This window comes from Homo sapiens, chromosome 4 (assembly GCF_000001405.40).
Source record: "Homo sapiens chromosome 4, GRCh38.p14 Primary Assembly".
NCBI lineage: Eukaryota > Metazoa > Chordata > Mammalia > Primates > Hominidae > Homo > Homo sapiens.
The window spans coordinates 98,679,587-98,704,025 of record NC_000004.12 but is presented as its reverse complement, the minus strand read 5'-3'; the positions used below and the strand labels follow the sequence as shown (position 1 = coordinate 98,704,025).

General features: G+C 40.9%; 2 annotated features.

The window, feature by feature from the left end:
• Window positions 16,754-17,180: a transcriptional cis regulatory region, noted in NCBI's record as "candidate enhancer chr4.2290 targeted for multiplex CRISPR interference". NCBI's record gives its function as "positively regulates TSPAN5 gene expression with high confidence in K562 cells {active_cell/tissue: K562}" and the evidence as "EXISTENCE:mutant phenotype evidence [ECO:0000015][PMID:30612741]".
• Window positions 20,915-21,370: a transcriptional cis regulatory region, noted in NCBI's record as "candidate enhancer chr4.2289 targeted for multiplex CRISPR interference". NCBI's record gives its function as "positively regulates TSPAN5 gene expression with high confidence in K562 cells {active_cell/tissue: K562}" and the evidence as "EXISTENCE:mutant phenotype evidence [ECO:0000015][PMID:30612741]".

Here is a 24,439-nt window from a genome sequence, read left to right as displayed (position 1 = left end):
TGCCCCACTCTATTGGTACCAATTTACTGTATTAGTTGATTTTCATGCTGTTGATAAAGACATACCTGAGACTGGGCAATTTACAAAAGAAAGGATTAATTAGACTTACAGTTCCACATGGCTGGGAAAACCTCACAATCATGGCAGAAGGCAGGGAGGAGCAAGTCTCATTTTACATGGATGGCAGCAGGCAAACACAGTGAGGAAGACGCAAAAGAGGAAACCCCTGAAGAAACCATCAGATCTCATGAGACTTATTCACTACCTGAGAACAGTATGGGGGAAACTTCCCCATGATTAAGTTACCTCCCACCAGGTCCCTCCCACAACACATGGGAATTATGTAAGTAAAATTCAAGATGAGATTTGGGTGGGGACACAGAGTCAAACCATATCAATGGGGGTGATTTCCCCCATGCTATTCCTGTGATAGTAAGTTCTCACGAGATATGAGACAGGTTTTATAAGAGGATTCCCCCTTCACTGTGCACTCATTCTTCTCTATCCTGCTGCCATGTGAGAAAGGATGTGTTTGCTTCCCCTTCTTCCATGATTGTAAGTTTCCTGAGGCCTCCCCAACCATGCTGAACTATGAGATAATTAAACCTCTTTCCTTTGTAAATTACCCAGTCTCAGGCAGTTCTTTATAGCAGTGTGAGAATGGACTAATACACTGCCTTTCCTTCTTTTAAAACTGTGGTAAAATACACATAACATAAAATTTACCATTTTAACCATTTTCAAGTATATAGTTCAGTGGTATTAAGTATTGCATACCATCACCACCATCTATATAACTTTTTTCATTTTACAAAACTAAAACTCTGTACCCGTTAAACAATAACTCCTCATTCTCCCTCCCCTCAGCTCCTGGGAACCACTGTTCTACTTTATGTCTTTATAAATTTTCCTACTGTAGGTACCTCATGTAAGTGGAATGACATATTATTGCTTTTATGCAACTGGCTTATTTCACTTAGCATAATGTCCTCTAGGTTCATCCTTGAGGGTGTGTCAGAATTTCCTTTTTAAGGCAAAATAATATTGCATTGTATGTATATATCACATTTTGCTTACCCAATCATTTGTTGATGGATACTGGGTTGCTTCCACTTTTTGTCTATTTTGAATAATGCCGCTATAAACATGGGGGTACAAATAGATTTTCAAGACCCTAGTTTCAATTCTTTTAGATATATACCAAGAAGTGGAATTTCTAGATCATATGGTAATTCTATTTTTAATTTTTTGAGGAACCACCATATTGTTTTCCACAGCAGCTGCACCATTTTACTTTCCCACCAGCAGGGTTCCAATGTCTCTACATCCTCACCAATGCTTGTTATTTTCTGTTTTTTAAATGGTAGCCATCCTATAGGTAAACAATTTCAACAAAGTTGTTTCATTTAACACCTATTCCTCCATTCATGGAATGAGGCTCTGGGAATACAAGAAACAGACCCTGCTTTAGTGGAACAGACAAAAGCAACAAAAGAGAAATAAAATATTTACAAATCATGATAAATGCTATGAAGGAAATAAGGAGATGAGGCTGATGATAATGGGAACTACTTTGAAAACTTTTTATGAAGCCACATTTAGATAAATGGAAGGAAAAGATTGTAGAAATGGGCAGTCACATGGGGCAAAGAACATGCAAGGCCTTGGGGCTAGAAAGAGCTGGGGTGTTCCAACTGCAGAGAGAACAACAGTGGGACTGGAAAGAGTGTAGCAGGAGGGTATAAGGATGGAGAGAAAGGCAGGGGCCTTGGTGTTCAGGGCCTTATGAGCCATTTTTCAGATCTGGGGTTTATTCAATGTTCTGTAGGAAGTCAGTGAAGAGTTTTATTTGGGAGAATGGCATGTTCTGAACTCTGGACTAAACACAGACCTTTTAAGCCTCGGTTTAATAAATGTCTTCTCAAGAGCTCCTTTGCAGCTTCAAGTCTGCAGATCAGAAGTTCAACAAGGCTTCAGAGGTTCCTAGAAGCCTTGTTGCACAGTGGTTAAGAACTCATGCTCTGAGGTCAGGCATACTTGGATTCAAATCCCAGCTCTACTGCCTACTAGCTATGTGACTTTCAGCAAGTCACCCAAGCCCTCAGATTTTCAGTTTCTTCCACAGGAAAATGAGAGAATAATGGTGCTTTCCTTACCAAACTGGTTAAGCATAAAATGAGAAAATGTATACGAATTCCTTAACACGGTGCCTAGTGCACACTAAAGTCTAAAAACCCTCAGCCATTATGATTACCAGAGCAGCAAGGGATGCTGAAGGCATTGGCACTGCGGCATAGACAACATAGTTTAAAGGAAAATGTATGGATTTTGGAGTTAAAAAACTCATATTCATTCATTCATTCAGCAAGCTTTTACTAAGGGCCTATTATGTCCTTACTTCTGAAAACATGAGAACACTGTCCTGGCTTTCAAGAATCAACAGCACAAACACATCTAATTATAACACAGTGTGCTAAGTGCAGTGGGAGATGTATGGATAGGGTATCATAAGTGCAAAGAGAAGGGGCACCCAACCAAGACTGGGGATAGGGAGTTAGGGAAGGTCCCTAAAGCAAGTGACAACTGAGCCAATTTTTATAGGATAAATTGTGTGTGAAGTGAAGGGCATCTACACAGAGAGGACCACATGAGCTCCGGCATGGAGGCAAGCAGCAGCAGAGTGCGAGGGGAACGAGAGGCAAGTAGAGGAGGAGGCTAGTATGTTAAGTGTTGTGAGCCAGCTAAGTGGCTGAGGAGGGCTAGACAGGTCTCAGATCAGAGAGGCCTTTTATAATAGGCTAAGGAACTTGGAGTTTACCCTGTAGGCAATGGTTAACTATTAGAACATTTCTAGCACCAGAACACCGTGTCCAGATTTGAGTTTTGCATAGTTCGTTCTGTTACATACATGGGAAATCGGTGTAACTGGGGAAAAAGTGAAAGAAAGGAGAACAGGTAGGAGGCAACTGCAGTAAACGAGTCAAGAAAGAGACAGTGTGAATCTGAATTAGGACATTGGACATAAGGATGGAGGAGATGAGGCAGATTTTTAAGTATTTTTAGAAGAGTAAATTGGCAGGACACGATGAGTTATCAGATGTAGAAGTGCTAAGAAACAGAGAGGAGTCAGGGATGACTAGAAGCTATTGACTTGGGTGCCTGGCTGGATGGCACACACAGAAACTAGAACGAGAGCTTGAAGTGGATTCTGTGCTGCTCTGCTTCAAGACAGAAGCCATCATTTCCCCAGCCTCCAGGAAGGATGGTTGCTGATGGCTCACAGCTGAGCCCTCTGTAGCCCAGGGGAGCTGCTTTGCTCAAGGTTATACTCCCATGACAGGGAGAGCCCACATTCAATGGCTGGTTGATGTAGGGGCGCAAAAGCCAGGCTGCTTTCCTTAATTCAGGAAAACTCTGATGGGCCATTCCAGCCCCAGAGCTCCAAGGGAGGAGCTGATAAATGGTGTCCCATTGATAAATATCTTGTACACAGATATGTGCTTCAGAGTGTTTCTTAGAGGACCAGACCTTAGATGGGAAGACATTCAAGTTTTGGGTGAATTGAGCTGGATATATCTGTAAGACTTTCAGGTTGAGGTATCCAGCTGGCTTTTTAGATACCTAAACCTAAAGCTCCAGGGAGAATTATGATCTGGAAATACAAGATTTTGGAGTTATCAGCACACCAGTAGTATTTGTCTATAATCCTTTACCTGTAGTTTCCAAATTCAAAAGAAAATCTAAAAAGCCAAAGTTTTTTTAAAAACTTATTTGGTGGCAAAGCCTGATCAGATTTGAGCCCCTTTGACTCCAAAATATGACCTGAACATATGAGAGGAGTATTTGCAGCCCCTTTGAAAAATCCTACTTAGTGTGAATATTTCTGTGTTTCGCTACAGAAATATCCATTTGTTTAACTATGGGTGCTGTCCCAAACTCTACTGGGACCAGTACGTAATTTTTACTATATGTTATATTACCTTTCCAAAATCTAAAAATCCTAAACCCTGAAGCCATCTGGCTCCAAGAGTTTCTGATAAAATATCTGTAATTGGGAGCATGAAAAAGAATAAGATTACCTAGGGAGAAAGTATAGACAAAATGCAAGCAATAGAGAGATAACAGCAGCATTTTGGACTAGACACAGGAGGGGTGACCAATCAAAGACAGAGAAGGAATATTCATAAGGTATGGCCAATCAGGAGAGTGCAGAGTCCTGGAGGCCTAGAGAACAGAGAGCTTTAAGGAGGAGGATGATCCATGGACTCAAGTGCAGCAGGGGTTTAAGAGCTTGGAAGTAGAACTTATCCTCCAGAGTTGGCAATTGGTGGTTGATGGATGATCATGGTGAGAGAAGTTCTGAGGAAAAGTGGGAAGAGAATGCAATACACTCCAATGCAGTGGATTGTGAAGTGAATGGGAAATGAGGAGAGAGATTATATAGTTGTTAGATGGAGAAGGGTATGTGGTTTTAGGCTGAAGAAAGCCTTGGGTGTGTTTATAGGGAGACAGGGAGAAGCAAAGAATGAGAGGCTGAAGATAAAGCAGAAAGTGAGGCAGGCTAATGAGATAAGATCCAGGGAGAGGCAGAGACAACTCAGGAGTGCATGAGGTTGGGATCCAAGTACAAGTACAGATGGGGATGTTGGGGTCTGGTCTTGACCTGAGGAGGAACTCCTTATCTTCTAAGATTGGGAGAAAAGGGATCAGAAAGGGGTTAGATAGAGAAAATGGATAGGTAGTGTAAACCAAGTATCTGAGATAGATCTCAATCAGTTTAGAGGTTTGTTTTGCCAAGGTGAAGAACCATAGCCCGTGACACAGCCTCTGGAGTTCCTGAGAACATGTGCCCAAGGTGGTTGGGCTACCACTTGGTTATATACATTGTTGTGAGACAGAAGTTACAGGCAAAGACATAAATCAATATATTTAAGGTTTACATTGGTTTGACTTGGAAAAGTGGGACATCTAGAAGTGGGGGCTTCCAGGTCACAGGTGGATTCAAAGATTTCCTGATTAGCAATTGGTCCAAAGAATTAAGCTCTGCCTGAAGAATTGGAGTCAGCTTGAGTTAAGATAAAGGGATTTGTATCACTGATCATTAGAGAAATGCAAATCAAAACCACGGTGAGATACCATCTCACGCCAGTCAAAATGGCAATTACTAAAAAGTCAAGAAACAACAGATGCTAGCAAAGCTGCAGAGAGATAGGAATGCTTTTACACTATTGGTGGAAGTGTAAATCAGTTCAACCATTGTGGAAGACAGTGTGGTTATTCCTCAAAGACCTAGACCAGAAACACCATTTGACCCAGCAATCCCATTACTGGGTATATACCCAAAGGAATATAGATCATTCTATTATAAAGATACATGCACTTGTATATTTATTGCAACACTATTCACAATAGCAAAGACATGGAATCAACCCAAATGCCCATCAATGATAGAATGGATAAGGAAAATGTGGTACACATACACCATGGAATACTACGCAGCCATAAAAAGGGGTGAGTTCATGTCCTTTGCAGGAACATGGATGGAGCTGGAAGCCATTATCCTCAGTAAACTAATTCAGGAACAGAAAAACAAACACCACATGTTCTCACTCATAGTGAGAGCTGAACGATAAGAACACATGGACACAGAAATGGGAATAACACACACTGGGGCCTGTGGGGTCGGGGAGAGCATCAGGAAAAGTAGCTAACACAGGCTGGGCTTATTACTCAGATGATGGATTGATAGGTGCAGCAAACCACCATGGCCCACATTTACCTATGTAACAAACCTGCACATCCTGCACATTTACCCCAGAGCTTTAAATAAATAAATAAATAATTATCAGAAAACATTCCCTTGAACTCTCTGGAACAGGTCCTCTTAGATCTTATTACCCAGGTATTAAAAGTAGAAAAAGAGAAGCTGAGAGTATCCACCTAGACAACAGCAAAGCTGGATTATCTTTGTATCATTCTTAAGAATAATAAAAAGAACTACAACCCATAAAAAAAGATAAAGGGGGTTGTGGAAGCCAAGGTTCTTGTCATGTTTATGTCACCTCCAGATAACAGGCTTCAGAGAGAATAGATGGCGAAGGTCTCTTATCAGATCTTAAAAAGGGATGGAGATTCTCTATAGAATGCAAGAATTTCCCCCACAAGAGACAGCTTTGCAGGGCCATTTCAAAATATGTCAGAGAAATATATTTAGGGGCAAAATACTTTGATCTTTTTTTCAGGGCCTGCTATCTGCTGTGACAGACTGCCACAATTACTACTTGAGACCCTCATTACAGCAGTTACTACTGTTACTACTTGAGACCGACATTACGAGACTGAACGAAGGGGGACGAATGAATGCAGAAATTAAGACTTAAAAGAAACTGTTTTAAAGAAAGGGGCCAGGGGACGAAGAAGAGGGCTCCTTGCTTCTAGTGAGCAAAGGCAGCAGCCATGAGCTTCTACAGCCCTTCGTATTTATTGGGTAGCAAGAGCAGGGAGAAGGAGGTAACTATTGGTCAGCTGCTTGATTGATCACATTATTGCTAACAGGCTTCAGATGTGCCTAATCACAAGAAATACTTGTGCCTGGGTTGTGACTGCCCTCAGCATTCCTTCTGGATGGCAGACAGTTTGTCTGTTTGCCAACATTCTGCACTTATGAGAACAGTTTGCTGTTTACTCATATAGCCTCCAGTGGTATACTGAGTTGATCAAGACCCTCACTCTGTCGGCCTCCAACAATCTGCCATGTGATGCTCTACCAGAGTCAGTTTGGAATTTTGTATCTTATTGCTACAAAGAGTCTTTCGCAGTCTTAAGGTCTCTCTTTTAATGTTAATGCTGGTCAGTTGCCTAAACTCCAAAGAGAGAAGTGTATAATGAGGCATGTCCAACTCCTCCCCTTCCTGTCATGGCCTGAACTAGTTTTTCAGGTTTCTTTAGGAGCCCTTTGGCCAAGAGGGGAGTCCATTCAGTCATTTGGGGGCTTAGAATTTTATTTTTGGTTTACAGCAGGAGAACATGAAGTTGAGGCTGATTGTCTGCTGACCTCCGTTTTCTCACTGAAGCAGATTAGCTCATCGGCTAAGAGTAAATGGGATGCAAGTTGAAAAGAGATTCAGGGAAAGAAGTGAAAGTTTGGTGTCAAGAGAGGGAGCTAAGGAAAATTAGAAAGATGAACAATTGGTGGCCCAAAGTTAGAGAACATGCAGTGACATTAACTGACACCGCGGTGTGATTTTTTTCTTCCCCTAGCTCTCAGCTTGATGCACAGAGATGTTAATTAAACAAAATAAAATATCTAACCATTAAAAGTTGTCACAGAGAGAATTTAATGACAAAGAAAATGCTTAAGATATTTGTGCCAGTTACTATTGGTACCTTCCTCAGAACCCCATGGCATTCATCTCTGTGCAGAGCTCTGTTGCTGAAAGGCTGCTTGCTGTGAAGACCTGAAACTCTCTGCCTGAGGCTTTCCACTGGCCAGTATGCTAGAAATCAAAGCCAGGGAACTTCTCCATTCCCAGGGCAATTAATGCTCCCTCTTCCCACTCCCCAGCCTGACCAATTATTAATGGGAAATTGATGGTTGAACACCTTAGTTTTCGCAGCCTTCCATTGGGACAATTTGAGATGTTTTTTATATTCAAATTTTTCTAGATTTCTCCAGCAGAACTCAGCTCCTGCTGCAACACAGTGCCAACTGGATTAACTACATACAATTTATTGGCTTTCTTTCTGTGGTGATTTTTTTTTAATAGGCTTCAAGTTCTACAGCGCTCCTCCCATGAAGTGGTAGGATCTATGTCTCTTCCCTCATGGGCTTGCAACTGCTTTCATAGAAAACGATGGCAGAAGTGACACTGTATGATTTTCAAGGATAGACCATAAAAGGCCATTGGCTTCCATCTACTTCTCTTGGGCGCTCACTCTTGGGGAAACTAGTCACAGACTAAGAAGTCTCACTAAACAGAAGTTGCTATGCTGGGGTGCCCCATGCAAAGATCTGGATCCCCTGCCAGCTATGGGAATGGCCATCTTGAACATCCAGCCCAACAGAGCTTTCAGATGCCTGCAGCCCTGGTGGACTTCTATAGCTGAGCCCTTCTTGAGTTCCTGATGCACCAAATCTTATGCAAAATAACACTGTGGTTGTTTTGTATCACTCAGGAGTAATTTGTTACACAGCTATAATGACTGTAACATTTCCCTTCCTTATATCTCTTTTCCACTTTCCTACTGGTGTTTCCTGGGATAGTTTTAAAGATAAATTATGTGCTCTTGAATTTTTTTTTCTTTTTTGAGACATGGTCTCACTCCAGTTGCCCAGGCTGTAGTGCAGTGGCGTGATCTCAGCTCACTGCAGCCTCAACCTCCCAGGCTCAGGTGATTCTCTCACCTCAGCCTCCCAAGTAGCTAGGACTACAAGCACACATGACCATGCCCGGTTAATTTTTTTGTATTTTTAATAGAGATGGCGTTTCGCCATGTTGCCCAGGCTGGTCTCAAACTCCTGGACTCAAGCAATCTGCCCGCCTCAGCCTCCCAAAGTGCTGGTATTATAGGTGTGATTGCGCCCAGCCTGGAATCCTTATTTCAGAATTTGTTCCTGGAGAATTCAAACTGAGAAAAACTATGTTACAAAATAATAGTTACAATATAACCTCAAAAATGAAAAAATACTAGAGAAAAAATAAATATAAAAATGTTAACCCAGTTAATTTCTAAATTGGAAAAATAAGGTTGATTCTTACTTTTAATATTCTTGGTGTATATTTTCCAAAGGTATAAAATATGTATGTATTACTTTTATCAGAAAGAAGTGGTTTTATGAAACATGAAAAAATGAGTAATGTTTTATGAAAAGATTTTTCTATGAAATTTAAAATTTAACAGTTTCCATAGTTAAGGTGAAATTTGTCTTCTAAAGTTTTTTTATGGTAGAAGTCCTGTTTTTAGCTTACTGGGCCCTACCTGCCTCCCTTGGACAGAGTTATTCCAGTATCATGTGACCCACACTCACCAATCACAGCAGACTGAACCAGGGAGCACCACATCTGAGTCCCCCAAAAAATCAATCCATAATGTGGCCAAAATTCCATCAGCTTCTCTCTAGAATTTGACAGAAGAAATGCAGTGCCTGTGATTACATGACCATGAAAATTACATATTCAAGGCCCCTGGCTGGCTCGCACCACATGCAAGTTGAAGTTGTATGGAGGGGCAGAAACCATGAGAAATAGAGGATGCTGATCTGCCATGGAGAATGGGGCAAATGCAGGGAGAGAAACGATGAAGAATTCTCTCTCTCTGTGTGTGTGCGCTGCCCGTGCATGCTTGCATGCTTGGAGAGAGAGAAAGATAGATGCCCGTCCAGTTCCTATGAGGCTTGGTTATACTTCTCACACTTCATTAACCTGAGAATCTCTCATACCTCTTCATAATCCCCTTTTACTTGACCTTGTTTGGGTGATGTCTGTTCTTTGTAACCAACAGAAACTGATCTGAACAAGTTCATTTCTGAAACCTAAAAAAGCTGAAATAATTCTAATGCTGATATGAATATTAACACAAATGCTTAACAACAAGGAAGTATTATTCATGTCCCCATTTCACAATGAGGCCAGTGCAGCATAAGAATATTTGGCACCGACCGTCCCACAGCTGGCAAGTGCAGGGCAGGATTCTCACACGGGCAGTCTTGCTCCAGGGGCGGAGCCCTTCACCTGGATGCAGATGGCGTCCCACCCTCATCTTTGTGATTCCTCACGCTGTAGGCTGGAGGCCTCAGGTGTGGCTCTTCTGTGATGACTGGTTACAGGGTGTTGAGGAGAACCAGTGTCAAGACTCCTATCCTGCACAGCAAGTCAGAGGCCACATTAAGAAACTAACGTGCCTAGGTGAATGATTGGCGAAACCAGCCCGGACGTTTGATTCCTCCTCCCAACATTTACATTTTTCAGCCATATTTATTAATTTTCTACCCATAATCTGACTAGCAAACACAAGATAACTCAAGTACATCGAGAATAAGAGGGAACTACAAACTGTAAAATACCCTAGGCTGAAAGGTGGAGGAAAGCTGAGTGGGATGCAGCTTGCCTCAGCAGGCTAAAGTGAGATCACAGCCCCAGTTTAAGGGAGCTAGGTGGGGAGACATCAGTGCTTTCACCAACAATCTTGAATTTGACCCTTCCCACAATCCTGTGAAGTGAATATTATTAAATTTATTTTATTTTATTGTTTTGAAACAGAGTCTCGCTCTGTTGCCCAGGCGGGAGTGCAGTAGCACCATCTCAGCTCACTGCAACCTCTGCCTCCTGGGTTCAAGCGATTCTCCTGCCTCAGCTTCCTGAGTAACTGGGACTACAGGTGCCTGGCTAATTTTTTGTTATTGTTGTTTTTAGTAGAGACAGGGTTTTGCCATGTTGGCCAGGCTGGTCTCGAACTCCTGACCTCAGGTGATCCACCCACCTTGGCCTCCCAAAGTGCTGGGATTACAGGCATGAGACACTGCACCTAGCCTAAATATTTTTTAGAAATGGGAAATGTGGGGCTCGGAGAGGGCAAGTGACTTGCTGCAGGACACACAGCAAATAGTGGCAGAATCAGATTCTAAATCTCATACAGTTTTCATCTCAGGATACTACCTCTTCAGTACGGTCTAGTCTATATTTGATTTTTCCCTACCACTTAACCCCCAGATTAATAACACTGTGAGCTGGAATAGCAAATCTAACTCTAACAATATTAATACTTGGCCTCAAATTATGCCATCTAGTGACCATACTAGCCTTACTCAGTAACATATAAGGCTAGTTACATCAGTTTCTCACATAGACACATATTTTCTGAACTCAACTGCTACCAATTTTCAAATTTCTAAATTGAGAGCCACAGCTCTCCAAATCGGATGTTAACAGAGCTTCCCTACACATAAGTTGCCGAGCAAACCCATCATTATATTCTGGTTCTTACACACACACCAAACAAGAAAGGGCATAGTAGGCAAGGAGGTTGATGAATTCATATCCAATAACACTTATTCTATAACTAGTTAGAATCATTTATTTTTGCAGGGTAATCATAATACTTCATCTGGAAGCTAAATTTTTCTTTGCAGATAACAGAAATAGAATCTCAAAAATATGTAACATGAAAGGGTGAAGATAGAAATTTCTCTCCAAGATTTATAATGAGGGGATAGGTAATCCACATAAATAACGAGCCCAGCATTTTTATAGACTAAATGAGGCCAGTCATTTGTAAAGATATTTCATTTCGTACTTCAGCAGCTCTCTGGGCCTTTAAAAATGCAGTGCACAGCCACGAGTTAATGCTTGTACAGGACTGCATACCTTTTAATCCAGCCGGAGAGTCAGCCCTGAAAGCAATGCATTTAACAGGAAACATCAGTGGCTCACGAATGTTCAGGAAGAGAGCCTGCTGACATGAACGTTCAGGAAAGAGAGTGCAAAAAGAGCCTTTCTGATTTTTTTTTTTTTTTTTTTTTTTTTTGGCAGACGGTGATAATGAAGGGAAAAGATTGGCTTGAGGACTGTGGGGGAAGGGGATCCACTAGCCCCTTAGAATATGGTTTCCACATTCCCATCGCTGCAATCTGCTTTAAGGCTGAAGAGTTTCTGAAGTTCTCTGATATCCACAGCCAGCTCAATTCACATAAGCGCAAATTTTAAGAGCCGCATTTTGGGCCTTCGGTAACATGGCTCTCACCCCTGAACTCTCAAGACCCTAACAATACTGAGAATTTACTTGGGAATGGGTAATTATGTGGAATAAGTATGAAATACTGGGAAAAGCATGAATTTAGCTACAGAGAGCCTTGCATGGAGATCCTGACTGCACAACTTACTAGCTGTGTGGTGATGGGTAGGACGCTTGAACTTCCCAAGCCTGTGTCCTCATCTCTAAAGTTCACTCAACAAATACTTATTCAACACCCACCATGAGCCACCATGAGCTGTTCTAGGTGCTGGGAATACAGAGCCCTGCCCTCATGGAGTATCCAGTCAGAGCTTAAATCCTCACAGCAAAGTGTCCCTGGAGAATTGTGAGGATCGGAGCTTCTGTCAGGGAGTTCCTGGAGCATTGTAGGAGGGCTTAACAGACATCAGCTCCTTCTCTATGAGAAGTTGATACATTCTTGAGGGTCCACTTGAGAATTCCTGGAGCCCTCAATGGGCAGAGTCAGAGCAGTTACCAGGGCACTCATGACCAAATATGGAGCTTAGATATCTCCTGTTTCCCGAGAAGGCTGCAACCAGCTCTGGAATCTCTGCATTATCAAACTTTAGACACCTGACCTTGTCATGAAATGTGGCAAACTCCACCTGGCTCTACGAGGTGAGCTATTTAGAGTTGCATCTCTTGACCCAGGCGACCAGGTATAGATTACTGAATTTCAAAATTCATTTGTCCATCTGTTCTCAGGAATTCAGAGTCAATCCATTCATATACCTACTTTGTAGCAGCCACTGGGTTGGGGAACATTAGGGACAAGTTAGGCTTGACCCTGTTGGAGCCTACTGTCTAATGGTTTGTTTGTGTAGGAGGTGGGAGGGTGGCTGATAAACAGGTACTATAAGAGTGCCTATTCAGGCACATAGACCCTAAGTCATACTGCCTGGGTTCAAATGCCTCAGTTTCTTCGTCTGTCAACTGGGAGAACCCTGATAGGACTGTTGTAGGCATTAAATAAACAAATATATAATCAAATCACTGGGATGCCATGTTGGTGATTACAGCAGTGTTGAGTCTTATTAAAGGCGGCATCAGTGTGATCTAAGGGCTTAGGGAATGGTCTCTGAGAGAATGTCGCTTAAGCTGTGACCTAAAGAATAAATAGAAGGAAAGTTGGGTGGCTTCTATTCCAGGTAGGGGAACTGTCAAGTGGTGGCATTAAGGGGAAACAATGGAGACATTTTTATTGTTGTTGTTTTGCAGAAACACTGTTGTGAGTTGAGTCCCCTCCCTGTACTGGCACTATGCTGGACAATGCAGGTACAGAGGTGGTGATCTTGCCACCATTCCCTCCAGGTGAGATAATGACAGATGAGGCAGCAAGTGTGATTGGGTGATCCAGACACCAAGAGAGCAGCATGAACAGATGGCTATAGGGGCACCAGCAAGCAGCAGTTGATTGCTTGGGGGCATGATTTAGCAAGGGGTTCACGGAGGAGGTGATGCTAGAAAGGTGAGGTGTGGTCATGAGGCAGGGAGGCAGAGAAGGGCATTTCATTGTAGGCCAACGGATCAGGGTGGGCAAAGGCCCAGAAATATGGTGCAGCTAGGCGCATTTGAGGAGGAGTGAGGAGTTTCGGGTGACTAGAGTGCATAGTTCCCAGCAGCGGCAAAGGGAGGTGTGGGAGAGATGTGGCTGGAGCGTGAGGGGGGCTTGGTCATCCTGGAGGGCCTTGGAAACCAAGCCAAAAGTTTAGATTTCATCCTGAAGAGCATTTAGAAATAGCTGTCTGGCAGCAGCATGGAGGGATGAATTGGAGGTGAGTGGGACAAGAAACTGAGAGGAATTAGGAGATAGCTGCCAAAGTCCAAGCAAGATAATAGGAGGGATCGAACCATGATTAGGACATGCAGAGCAAAGAAGAGGGAATGAAACCCAGAGGTATCTCCTATAGCACTGAGTAACTGGTGGATCAAGGGAGGTCCTGATGGGGTGACTGAATGAATAGTGGATTAATACACAGCATAGAGCAGGGTCTCAATGACCATGGGTGGGCTGGACAAGTGCAAGCAGAGAGAATGCATGCCTTCCAAAGGGCACAGCTGTGCTCAGCTCCACCTGATCACTAATGGTTACTGCAATGGTTATCTATTGCTGGGTAACAAATTACCCCAACACGTATTGACTTAAAACACAAACATATTTTCTCACAGTTTTTGTGGGCCAGGAATCCAGGCATGGTTTAACTGGGTCCTCTAATCCATGGTCTCTCACAAGACAATAATAAAGGTGTCAGCTGTGTCTGTGGTCTTGGCTTAAGGTTCAACTGAGGGAGGATCTACTTCTGAACTCATTCATGTGGTTGTTGGCAGGCCTCAGGTCCCTGGTGGCTGGTGGCTGATGGAATTGGTTCCTTTTCATATGGGTCTCTCCTTAAGGCAGCTCATAATAGGGCAGTCAGCGCCTCTCCAGAGCAAGCGAGGAAGAAAGATGGAAGGCAGTCTTTTTGTAACCCAATCTCAGAAGTGACATCCTATCATTGTTGCTGGATTCTGTTAATTAGAAGTGAGCCAAGTTCACCACACACTCAAGGGGAGGAGATTTGACAAAGGCATGCAAACCAGGAGGTAAGCATCATTGGAAACCACCTTAGTGACTACACTACAATATTCGTCTTTGAGAATACAACTCAGTGTTGGGACTGCCTGATTTTTCAAGAAAAATTGGAGATCTGATTTTTATGTGAAATCTTCCAATTTGAAAATACTGGCCCTTAATCCCAACAATTTTTTTTATATGCATTTGGTCAAATAAAACTCTCTCAAGCATGACCCATGGGAGACCATTATGAATCCTCTGGTACAGGGACCAGAGAAATAGGAGCAGAATTAGAGGAGAGGGAGCAGAGGTTAGGATGTTTGCCTCGTTCTTTACTTGAGGAAGTTGGGAGAGCCAAGTCATTGTTAAAATGATGGGAGCTTGAAAAAGATGAATGCCAATCATTCAATCCAGATAACTGTATTCGTATAAATTCTACAGTCATGTTGGTAAAGATGACTTGTTTTCATTAAAGAGAAGCCTTTGATCTCTGATCTGACAGCTGCACATCTATATAAAATGAGACACTTTGACATCTGCAGCTCTGATCTCAATTGGACAGGTGGTTTCCTGCACACTAATGGAACAGAAAGACAATTGAGCATTATTAGATAAGAGAGAATGTTCTCACACACAGGAAAACAGCTTTTTCCTTTGAAAAAAAACATGATAAAGAACAGAAAATGACTGACAGAATCAGAGCTTCCTAACTGTCAGAAGAGCTGTTTCAGCTACACTCTGGCCTCTGTTAGGGGAGATTAGGATCGTTTTCAGAAAAGTATTGAACATACCTTAGCATTAGCTGACTCAGGGAGGAATTTGCTGGTAAAATAAGCCTGTTCTCGGAGTGTGCCAAAGAGCTAAGATGCAGCTTGGGTTTTTCATAAACAAAGCAAACACTTTAGTGAAGCCTAATTTATACACATTCACTGAAAAGTTTAGTAAGCAGGAAAACTTCTTAGTGGAAAACCTTTTTTGCGTCTTCATTCAGCAAATACTTATGGAGTACACACATGGCTAGATGATGGAGATACTGTAGGAAAGACAGCCAAGGTCACTCTGCCCCAGTGCCTTACAGACTAGAGGACAAGGCGGATATGGAATAATGATAACAAAACAAAACTCTGAGTCACGTTTTGTCAGAGGAAGTAGAGGTGCCATGGGAGCTTCACCCCAAGGTGACCTATCTCAAGCCAGTGACTTGGGGAAGGCATCCAGAGAACTCAAAGATGAGTAAGAATTGCCCAGTTCAAAGTGGTGAGGTGGTGGGGTATTGGGAGAGGCTTTGGGCTATTTACTGCTTAAGTGGTAACACAGGAAATATTTTTTACGTATTTCACATTCAGCATTGGATTTTCTCTTCAACACTCAAATTATTATAGTACATCCTGAAAAAAAAGTCAGCTCACATTTGTACTAGAACTATAAAGTAGAAAATAAGCATTTCTTAGGATATTAATAACAGTGGGTTCTTTTGCCTAGAAAGCAAATCCTATATTTTTATCTCATTTCTCTTGTCACATAGAAGAAGCTATGTAAAGCCAGAAGATGAGCACACATGATAGATGAGGTTGTAGAGAAACCTTATGAGCTGCTGCTGGAATGTAAAATGGTGCAGGCACTTTGGAAAACAGCCTGGCAGTTTCTCAAACAGGCAGAGAGTTGCCACATGACCCAACAATTCCACTGTTAGGTACATACACAAGAGAAATGGAAACATATGTCTATACAAAAACCTCGACATGAATGTTTATTCAAAATATCCACAATAGTCCCAAAGTGAAAACAACCCAAATGTCCTTCAGCTGCTGAATGGATAAGCAAAATGTGGCATAGCCACACAATAGAATATTATTCAGCTATAAAAAGAAATGAAGTACCGATAGACACTGCAGCATGGATGGACCTTGAAAACACGATGCTAAGTGCAATAAGTCACAAAAGTCGCATTTTCATTTATAGAAAATGTCCAGAATAGGAAAATCTATAGATACAGAAAGTAGATTAGTGGTTGCATGGGCTGGGCGATGAACAGGAGAATGGATGAGAGTCAGAGCTCAAGGGTACAAGGTTGCTTTCTGAGCTGAAGGAAACGTTCTAAAATTGTGGTGATGATTGTACATATCTGGGAATATGCTAAAAACCACTAAATTGCATACTTTAAATGGGTGACTCTTCAGGCACGTGAACAGCTCAATGAAGCTGTTGAAGCAAGCACACAAGCACCCCGTCCTTCCTAGCTAGGTAGTAGAGCCCGCTAGCACAGGTGGGTGTGGGGTTTGGCTCCTGATGCCAAAGCACAGCCCTGCTCTTCCAGGGAAGGTTCTTTGGTCTTTGCCTTCTTTTCTTTCTATTCATTTTTTTCTTCATCCTCAATAAACATCAGGAATACTTAGGTGTTATATTTTTTCCTTCTTTTTAAATCTTTATTTACTAGCCTCTGGTAATGTATTAGAGGTGCAATATCTTTAATTTTGTTTGGAATTGTGATGCTTTACCCTCTATACCATACCTAAGACCTTCATTTTCAAATGTTTACCACTGTTTTTAACCATCCCCATGTATCATTTCAGCCTTTTCCCCAGGACTTTAAGCTTGCCAGTTCTGCATTAATCTATGAGACTCAGCTTCGTGGAGTAGCTGATAACTCATGAGCCAGCCTTGATCCCATTAACTCTTCTCTCCAGGGGCCCAGGAATGGGACTGAGGTTAGACATTACTGATATGATTATCTCAACTGAACCAGTGACAGCAAACATTTTAGATGCCAGAAGAGCTGTTGGGTGAAAATTAATATTGGTGTTTATACACAGACATGGTCTGAGAGTTGCAAATAAAAAGAAAAATTAAAATTTACAAAACCACACAATTATTTGGCCACACAATCCTGTTCCCCCTTTTAATACAATAAAATTAAAAATTTTCCAACTGGCTTATTCAGCAACTTGGCAAGTCATTGCAAGTTAGAGAATTTCAAATGTCATACACGTTAGGTTTTTTAAATGTATCTTATTTGTGGACGCAAATTTACCTTTCTACAAAAGTAACACATAGCTTAATATTAAATTGTTTGCATTATATAAACACACATGAGATTGGTGGTGGAAAGTCAGCCAAGAGTAAATGAGGAGTTCATGGGAAAATCTGCTTACTTCAAAAATGTGCTGGAGCTAATTTGCAAAGAGAAGAACCCACATGTGGATTATTGAGGGTTAGCTGTGTAATCCCCAAAGAGCAAAACACTGGTTACTGATTCCTATTGAGAGAGAGAGAGAGATTTACTGCCTGTTTCTGTGCTTGAGGCATTTTACATATATTATCCCAAATATTTACGATACACTTACAAGGTAGACATTATTAGCCTCATTTTCTAGATGAGGAAACTGAGGTCCAGAGAAGCTAAGTGGCCCAAAGCCATAGAGATATAATAGATGGAGCCAAGACTTGATAGACTTGGACTTATCCGCCACACAACATTGTACCTTTTGTTCATTCATTCATCTATTCATTCATTATTGTAGTATACAAACAACTGCCTTGATTGTGCAACAGCATCTGTGTATCATAATTAGCAAAACAAAGAAAGAACAGGATAGTGGTTAATGTCTTGATTGTAAATAGTTTTAATGGAAAAGCATAAAAAGGATAGGATTACTTAGCAGAGAGTAACATCTACATAAAAACATAATTTTAAAAATCAAACATCTCCAGTCAATAGCGGACAGTCTGCCAGAAGATCTGTTAGGTCTTGAAGTCAATTGCAGCAGTGGCATCTGTCTCTTTGTGCACGCTGAGCTGCTTTAGATGTTAGTCTAAGAAAGAGTGATTTTTTTCTTTGATATGTAAAGTTCAAAGAAGCTTTGTTATACAACAAGTTGAATAATAGCATGCAGGTGAAAAGAATTCTGGGTTGACTGGTAAACTGTGGCCCCCACCCAAATTGCAAATATTTGCGCAAAATCAGGAAAGCACAAAATGGCAAAGGAGCAATGAAAGGAAATGAGCCTCTCAGGAATCTGGAAATGGACTTTGATGCCCTTTGATTTTATTGTGGAATCAGCAGTTTAAATCAGGCCAAGACAAATAATAACAAAAATAGTAGTATTTTATCTCTTGATTGTGTGTTCAGGCTAGATAGTCACTCAACTCATGCAAAACAGAACACTCGAAGTTCTTAAGAGGAGCGATTTTACCAATAATCTTCATTATTATTATTAATTTTAAGGAGAGGAGCCATTCTCACCCCCCTCATTCTCACATTACCATGTTGGAAAACCTCTCCGGAAGGCTACACATTGGCAATATTCCAAAAATGTCCCTTGCAGTAGAGTAGGAAGGAGCCGGGAAGGCTGCTGACCACTGTGCCTCCCCCAATTCTGTTTTAGGCTAGGGAAATGTGGTAGACAGTATAATGGCCCTTCAAAGATGTCCACATTTCAATCTCTAGAACCCATGAATATGCTACCTCACGTGGCAAAAGGGACTTTGCAGAAGTGATTAAGGACCTTGAGATGGAGAGATTATCTTGGATTAGCCTGGCAGGCCCAATCTAATCACGAGTCCTGAAAAGTGAAGAACCTTTCCCAGCTGTGGTTAGAAAAAGTTGTGACAATGGAAGAAGGGTCAGAGTGATCCTATGTTGCTGACGTGAAGATGGAGAGTAAGGGCCATGAGTGTGGGCATCCTTCAGAAGCCAGGAAAGGCAAGGAAAGGAATTCCCTGCCTAGAGCCTCCAGAAAGGAGTGCAGCCCTGCTGACAGCTCGATTTTAGCCCAGCCAGATCGATGTTCGACTTCCGGTATAAGAACTATAAAACAATATATTTGTGTTGTTTAAAGCCACCAAGTTTATAGTAATTTCTTACAACAGCAACAGAAAACTAATACAGGAGAGACCAAGTCAAGGCAGTTAAAGAGCCTGAGGCTTTTCATCAGCATGTCCTTTCTCCCTGCTGCTCCATGTTAAACCAGGCGATGGGTACGTCGTGGTTAGGGAGGACACCTAAGTAATTTTTGACCAAAATCAAAGCCTGTTAAATTCCTTGTTACTTTTACTGATCTGTTAGATTGTGATTTTGTTTTTATATTCACTAAAGGATATGAATTGTATATTAATGTCTTTGATATCATTTCTTTGCCTTTCCTCTATCTGAAGACCTACATTTAATTATTAATCAAAAGAGCACCACCTCTTTTACTATAAAGAAATCTACCCTATAGCCAAGGGCGATTTTTACCTTAACACTGGTGGCTTCAGTTGGACCAAACAATGTAAAACCAAACAGTATTCGCTAGGCCCACAAACTAATATTATCATTATTATCACTATGACAAATAACAAAACTTGGGCATATTCAAATATATTTATCACTATTTCTCAAAACAACCCTTGTGCACATTCTATTTATAAACAAATTAATTAAAAGCATTTGGTCTTAGGCCCACATATGAATAAGGTATAAAGTAATAACTCAAATTAACTTTCAAAGGGTAGGTCCTCAATCACAGACCTTTCTGGATTTAACAAAACCAGGTCATCTGACTCTCTTTGTTACATAAGCCAGGCTAACATCTCCTCTTTGAAGATTATCTTCTATCCTTTTATGTCAGAAGTGGAAGAGTCAGAAAAAAATGCTTGTATTTTACACTCACAACTTATTTCCATCCATATTACCACTTTCCAACTCTTATAACCATTCCTCTCTCATTTACTCACTCTCTTTCCCACTCATCACAGCCTCCCCTTACCCCAGAGGGATGGTCTAAATTTCATTCCCTATTGCCAAAGCCTAAATGATAAAAAATTAAATATATAAAGAACTTACCTGGCTGGGCACAGTGGCTCACACCTGTAATCCCAACACTTTGGGAGGCCGAGGCAGGTGGATCACCTGAGCTCAGGAGGTCGAGACCAACCTGGCCAACATGGTGAAACCCCATCTTTACTAAAAATACAAAAAATTAGCCAGGCATGGTGTTGGGCACATATAATCCCAGCTACTCAGGAGGCTGAGGCAGGAGAATCGCTTGAACCCGGGAGGTTGGGGTTGCAGTGAGCTGAGACTGCGCCATTGCACTCCAGCCTGGGTAACAAGAGCAAAACTCCTTCTCAAAAAAAACACAAACAAACTGTGACAAAGCTTCAGATCATTCATTTAGCATTGTGAAAGGCAGGTTACTCTGACGTATGAATGAAGGTTAAGCTTCAGGCCGCTCTCATGGTGGGTCGTGTCATGCCTGGGCTCCTTACAAGGTCCTAGGAAGTATCCTGACACATGCATTCACATACTTGTAGATTTTTGTAAAATTTGCAAAAGTAAATATTTTTATCTTTTCTTTCTTTTTTTTTCTTTTTCGTTCTTTTTTTTTTTTTTAAGAAATAAGGTTTTGCTCTGTGGCCCATGCTGGAGTGCAGTGCCATGGTCATAGCTCACTGCAGCCTTAAACACCTTGCTCTGCCTCCCAAGTCACTTGGATTATAGGCTTGAGCCACTGCACCTGGCTCAAAAGTAAAATATTTTTATTGCAATTGGTTATGACCCTTGTCTCTTTCCACTTTGACTTCCCATCTATTACATTGCAGTCAGGTGGTATTACTGGGGACGTAAGTGTTTTGGGGAGCTGGCTAAGAGGAAGTTGAATTGGGGAATATATTAAATAAATTGTGGTTTTAGCAGGATATATTTATGAGGGTCAAGTGACTTCCTTACATAGTTAAGCTATTACTGGCTGATCTGGCATAGAAATGGCTTCTGGATTCTCCTCCTGCCCTTGAGCCAACATTACCAGGCATGATGTTGAAAGGACTAGGGCCAGAGGCCATATCAGGATAAGAACCTGCCCTGTAGTAGGAGTATGTGGGGAGAGAGATAAGCAAGGTCTGCAATGTGCAGAGCCAGAAGCAATTCTGTGGAAAATTCCTTCGAACATCAGACATGTAAACTTGTAAACAAAGAATTCAATTCTCATCAATGCCCCATCAAGACAGAAATTCTCTCCTGTTTAGGAATGTACATTATACATAATTATAAACCCAAAATACATTTTCATGAAAATCATCTAAAGTAGATTTTATCAGAATTCTTGGGTTTCTGATGCATAATCCTGTAGCAGTGAACACATCTATGTGTGAGGTTGCATGTTTTATGCATCCCATCTATCAATAATAAAACACAAATTTAGACCAACCATGCTAGAGGAAGGCTGTTTTCTATCTTTAGAAAGCTGTGTTACAAAATTGATGTTAAAGAGGTGATCAAAGAATATGCAGCCAAAATATGCAGAAAAATATATTATAAAAAGCTGTCAGAGAATTAAAAAAAAATTGGGTTCTAGATGTATGGGTATTCATAGTATTTATCATCTTTCTAATGTTTGTAATTTATTTTTTATTTCTTTTTATTCTAAATAAATATTTACTTTTGTATCTAATTTTATATTTATAATTTTATACTCTTTTTCTTAAAGAGAAGATTAAATAAACTTCAAGCCTCCCAAAAGCTAGATCCTCTCCTCCTGCATCCAATTCTAATCACTGATTACCCAAATTTGTCAATTCATGGTAAAGGCCTTCATTGCCCATTGGCAGTCTCTGGTTTGCTCGGTTATCTTTCTTTGTTTTAAATTAGAGACAGGGTCTCTGTCTGCCACCCAGGCTAGAATGCAATTGCAAGATCCCAGCTCACTATGGCCTTGAATTCTTGGACTTAACGAGATCCCCCTGCCTCAGCCTCCAGTGTAGGTAGGGCTACAGGCACATGCCACCATGGCGGGCTATTTTTTTTTTAATTTTTTGTACAGAAGGGGTCTCACTATGTTGCCCAGGCTGGTCTCAAACTCCTGACCTCAAGCAATCCTCTCACCTTGGCTTATCAAAGTACTGGGATTACAGACATGCCACCGCCTGCTTCATTATCTTTAATGTCTAAAACCACAGGGAAAATAAGAGAAAACAAACAAAACATCATGATACTTTCGAGAGTGAGATTTATATCTGAGCACGTGTCAAACATCAATTACCACCCAAGTCATTTGTAAATCTCTGCTTCCAGTGGAACCCAACTTAAGAAACATACCTGTATTGGTTTAATAGGGCTAACACAACAAAGTACCACAAACTGGGTGGCTTAACCTACAAGTGTATTGTCTCTGTCTGGAGGGCAGAAGTCGGAGATCAAGGAGTTGGCAGGGCTGGTTCCTTCTGAGGACATGAGGGAGAATCTGTTCAGTGCCTCTCTCCTAGCTTCTGGTGGTTGCTGGCAATCGGTGTTGCTTAGCTTATAGTTGCATGACCCCGATCTCTGCCTTCTCTTCACATGGCATTCACAGGGAGAACAGTCAACTGGAGTCGGGACCACTTTAATGATTTCATCTTAACTTGTCTACATCTGCACAAGCCCTGTTTCCAAATAAGGTCACATTTCTGAGGTACTAGGGCTTGAGACTTCAACATATCTTTTTTGGGGGGACACAATTCAACCCATAACAATGCCTTCATTTTTTTTGTACTTTCCTTCTATAAAAGCAAGTAATGATAGTACTCACTATTGATGAGAATACAATATGCAGTAAAGTGGTCATTCCCATTGCTATTGGAAATGTCAATTAAAACATTAGAAACAATTTAAGTTCATTTTAAGATGTAAATTCCAGAAAGTCAGGGACCTTGTCTGTTTTCCTCACCACTGTTATCTCAGCTGCAAAAACACAGCTTATCACACAACACACACTCAATGAATACTTGTTTTGAATTGATGTATTATCTTGAAATGCCTATACTAAATGGTTATGGTTTGGCATTGTTAGAATAACTAGACAGAAGAAAGTGATGTTAAATACCATACTCTTTACTAAATAGATGGGAAGTTTCCTCTCAGCCTAAGTATCTATTCAAAAGAATAATTTAGGTCTTTATAGAAATAATAGAATGTGTTTGCTGGAATTCATACAATGGTATAAAACCTATAGTTAATATTTAACTCTATAGAAAATATATGTATATTGTGTATTCAGTAAACTACAAATAGTTAAGTTTCCATTTCTGTCCCCAGTAAGGAATTGGTAAAAATGATTACCTTAGGTAAATATCTTTCACCTTTAAAAGTTCATTAAAAATTTCAAATCTCTTAGAAACCCCCAAATGAATTATCTGATCCCCTGATTAGGTTAGGTTCTCCTGTCACTCACTCTCACAGATTTCAAAACTTCTTTGTTGTTAGTACTTATCAATTTGAACTTAAATAATTTTTTTTATTGTTTTAAGGCCTAGCTTTGCTGCTATTATACAATCCATGAAAGCACACTTTTCTTGTCTTTTTCACTAAGGTAATTTAACCTCCAATATTTGCTTAGTGTCTAGCATATATTTGCTGCTCAATAAATATTTGCTACGTCAACACATAAATTACTGAAAGAATGAATGAGTGAATAAATGAATGCATGCTTGGAGTGTGAAGTCTGAGCCTGATTCCCCTGCTTTGGACTTTACCTAAGTTCTGCTGATGATCTTCCTCAAGAGCCTTGTCCTAAGGCAGTATTTTCAGGAATGTCATTTTCTTTCATTTTTCACCCTAATTTCTCTGCAGAAATTCTGTCTTTGAGTTTGCTCAAAATAATAGCCTATATCGATTTTATTGCAAAGGAGACATTGTTTTCCTTCAATAAACTCTGCAAGAATGCCTATTGCTGCTTGTTTGTTATCAGAGGAAGCTTCCCTTTCTATTTGCATGATCCTGTAGTTTTCCAGCCCTTTAATCTGGTTCTCCATGTTCCCTGGTCAGCGGCCTGTAGGTTGTGCCCACATTGTGTGGATGGAAGCTAAATTCTTCTTCTTTTGGTGGGCGAAGTAACTTACTGATTGGGGTCAGGGCTACAAAGAGATCCCCACTGGGCAAAAGAATGCATGCAGTGAAGCTTCCTTTGTAACGTTATTAGAAATTATTTTCTGGCTCCAACAGGAAAGGCTGTTTTCTAATTTAACCATTTCAGGTCCACTGTATCTGCAAAACTTTCATTTCCATTTGTAGGTAATTATAAATAATGGGATATATATTTTTATTTATTTTTATGAAAAGCTTTATATTTCTTTAAGATAGTCTACAAGTGGAGATGCCAAGTCACCCACTGAATACAGACT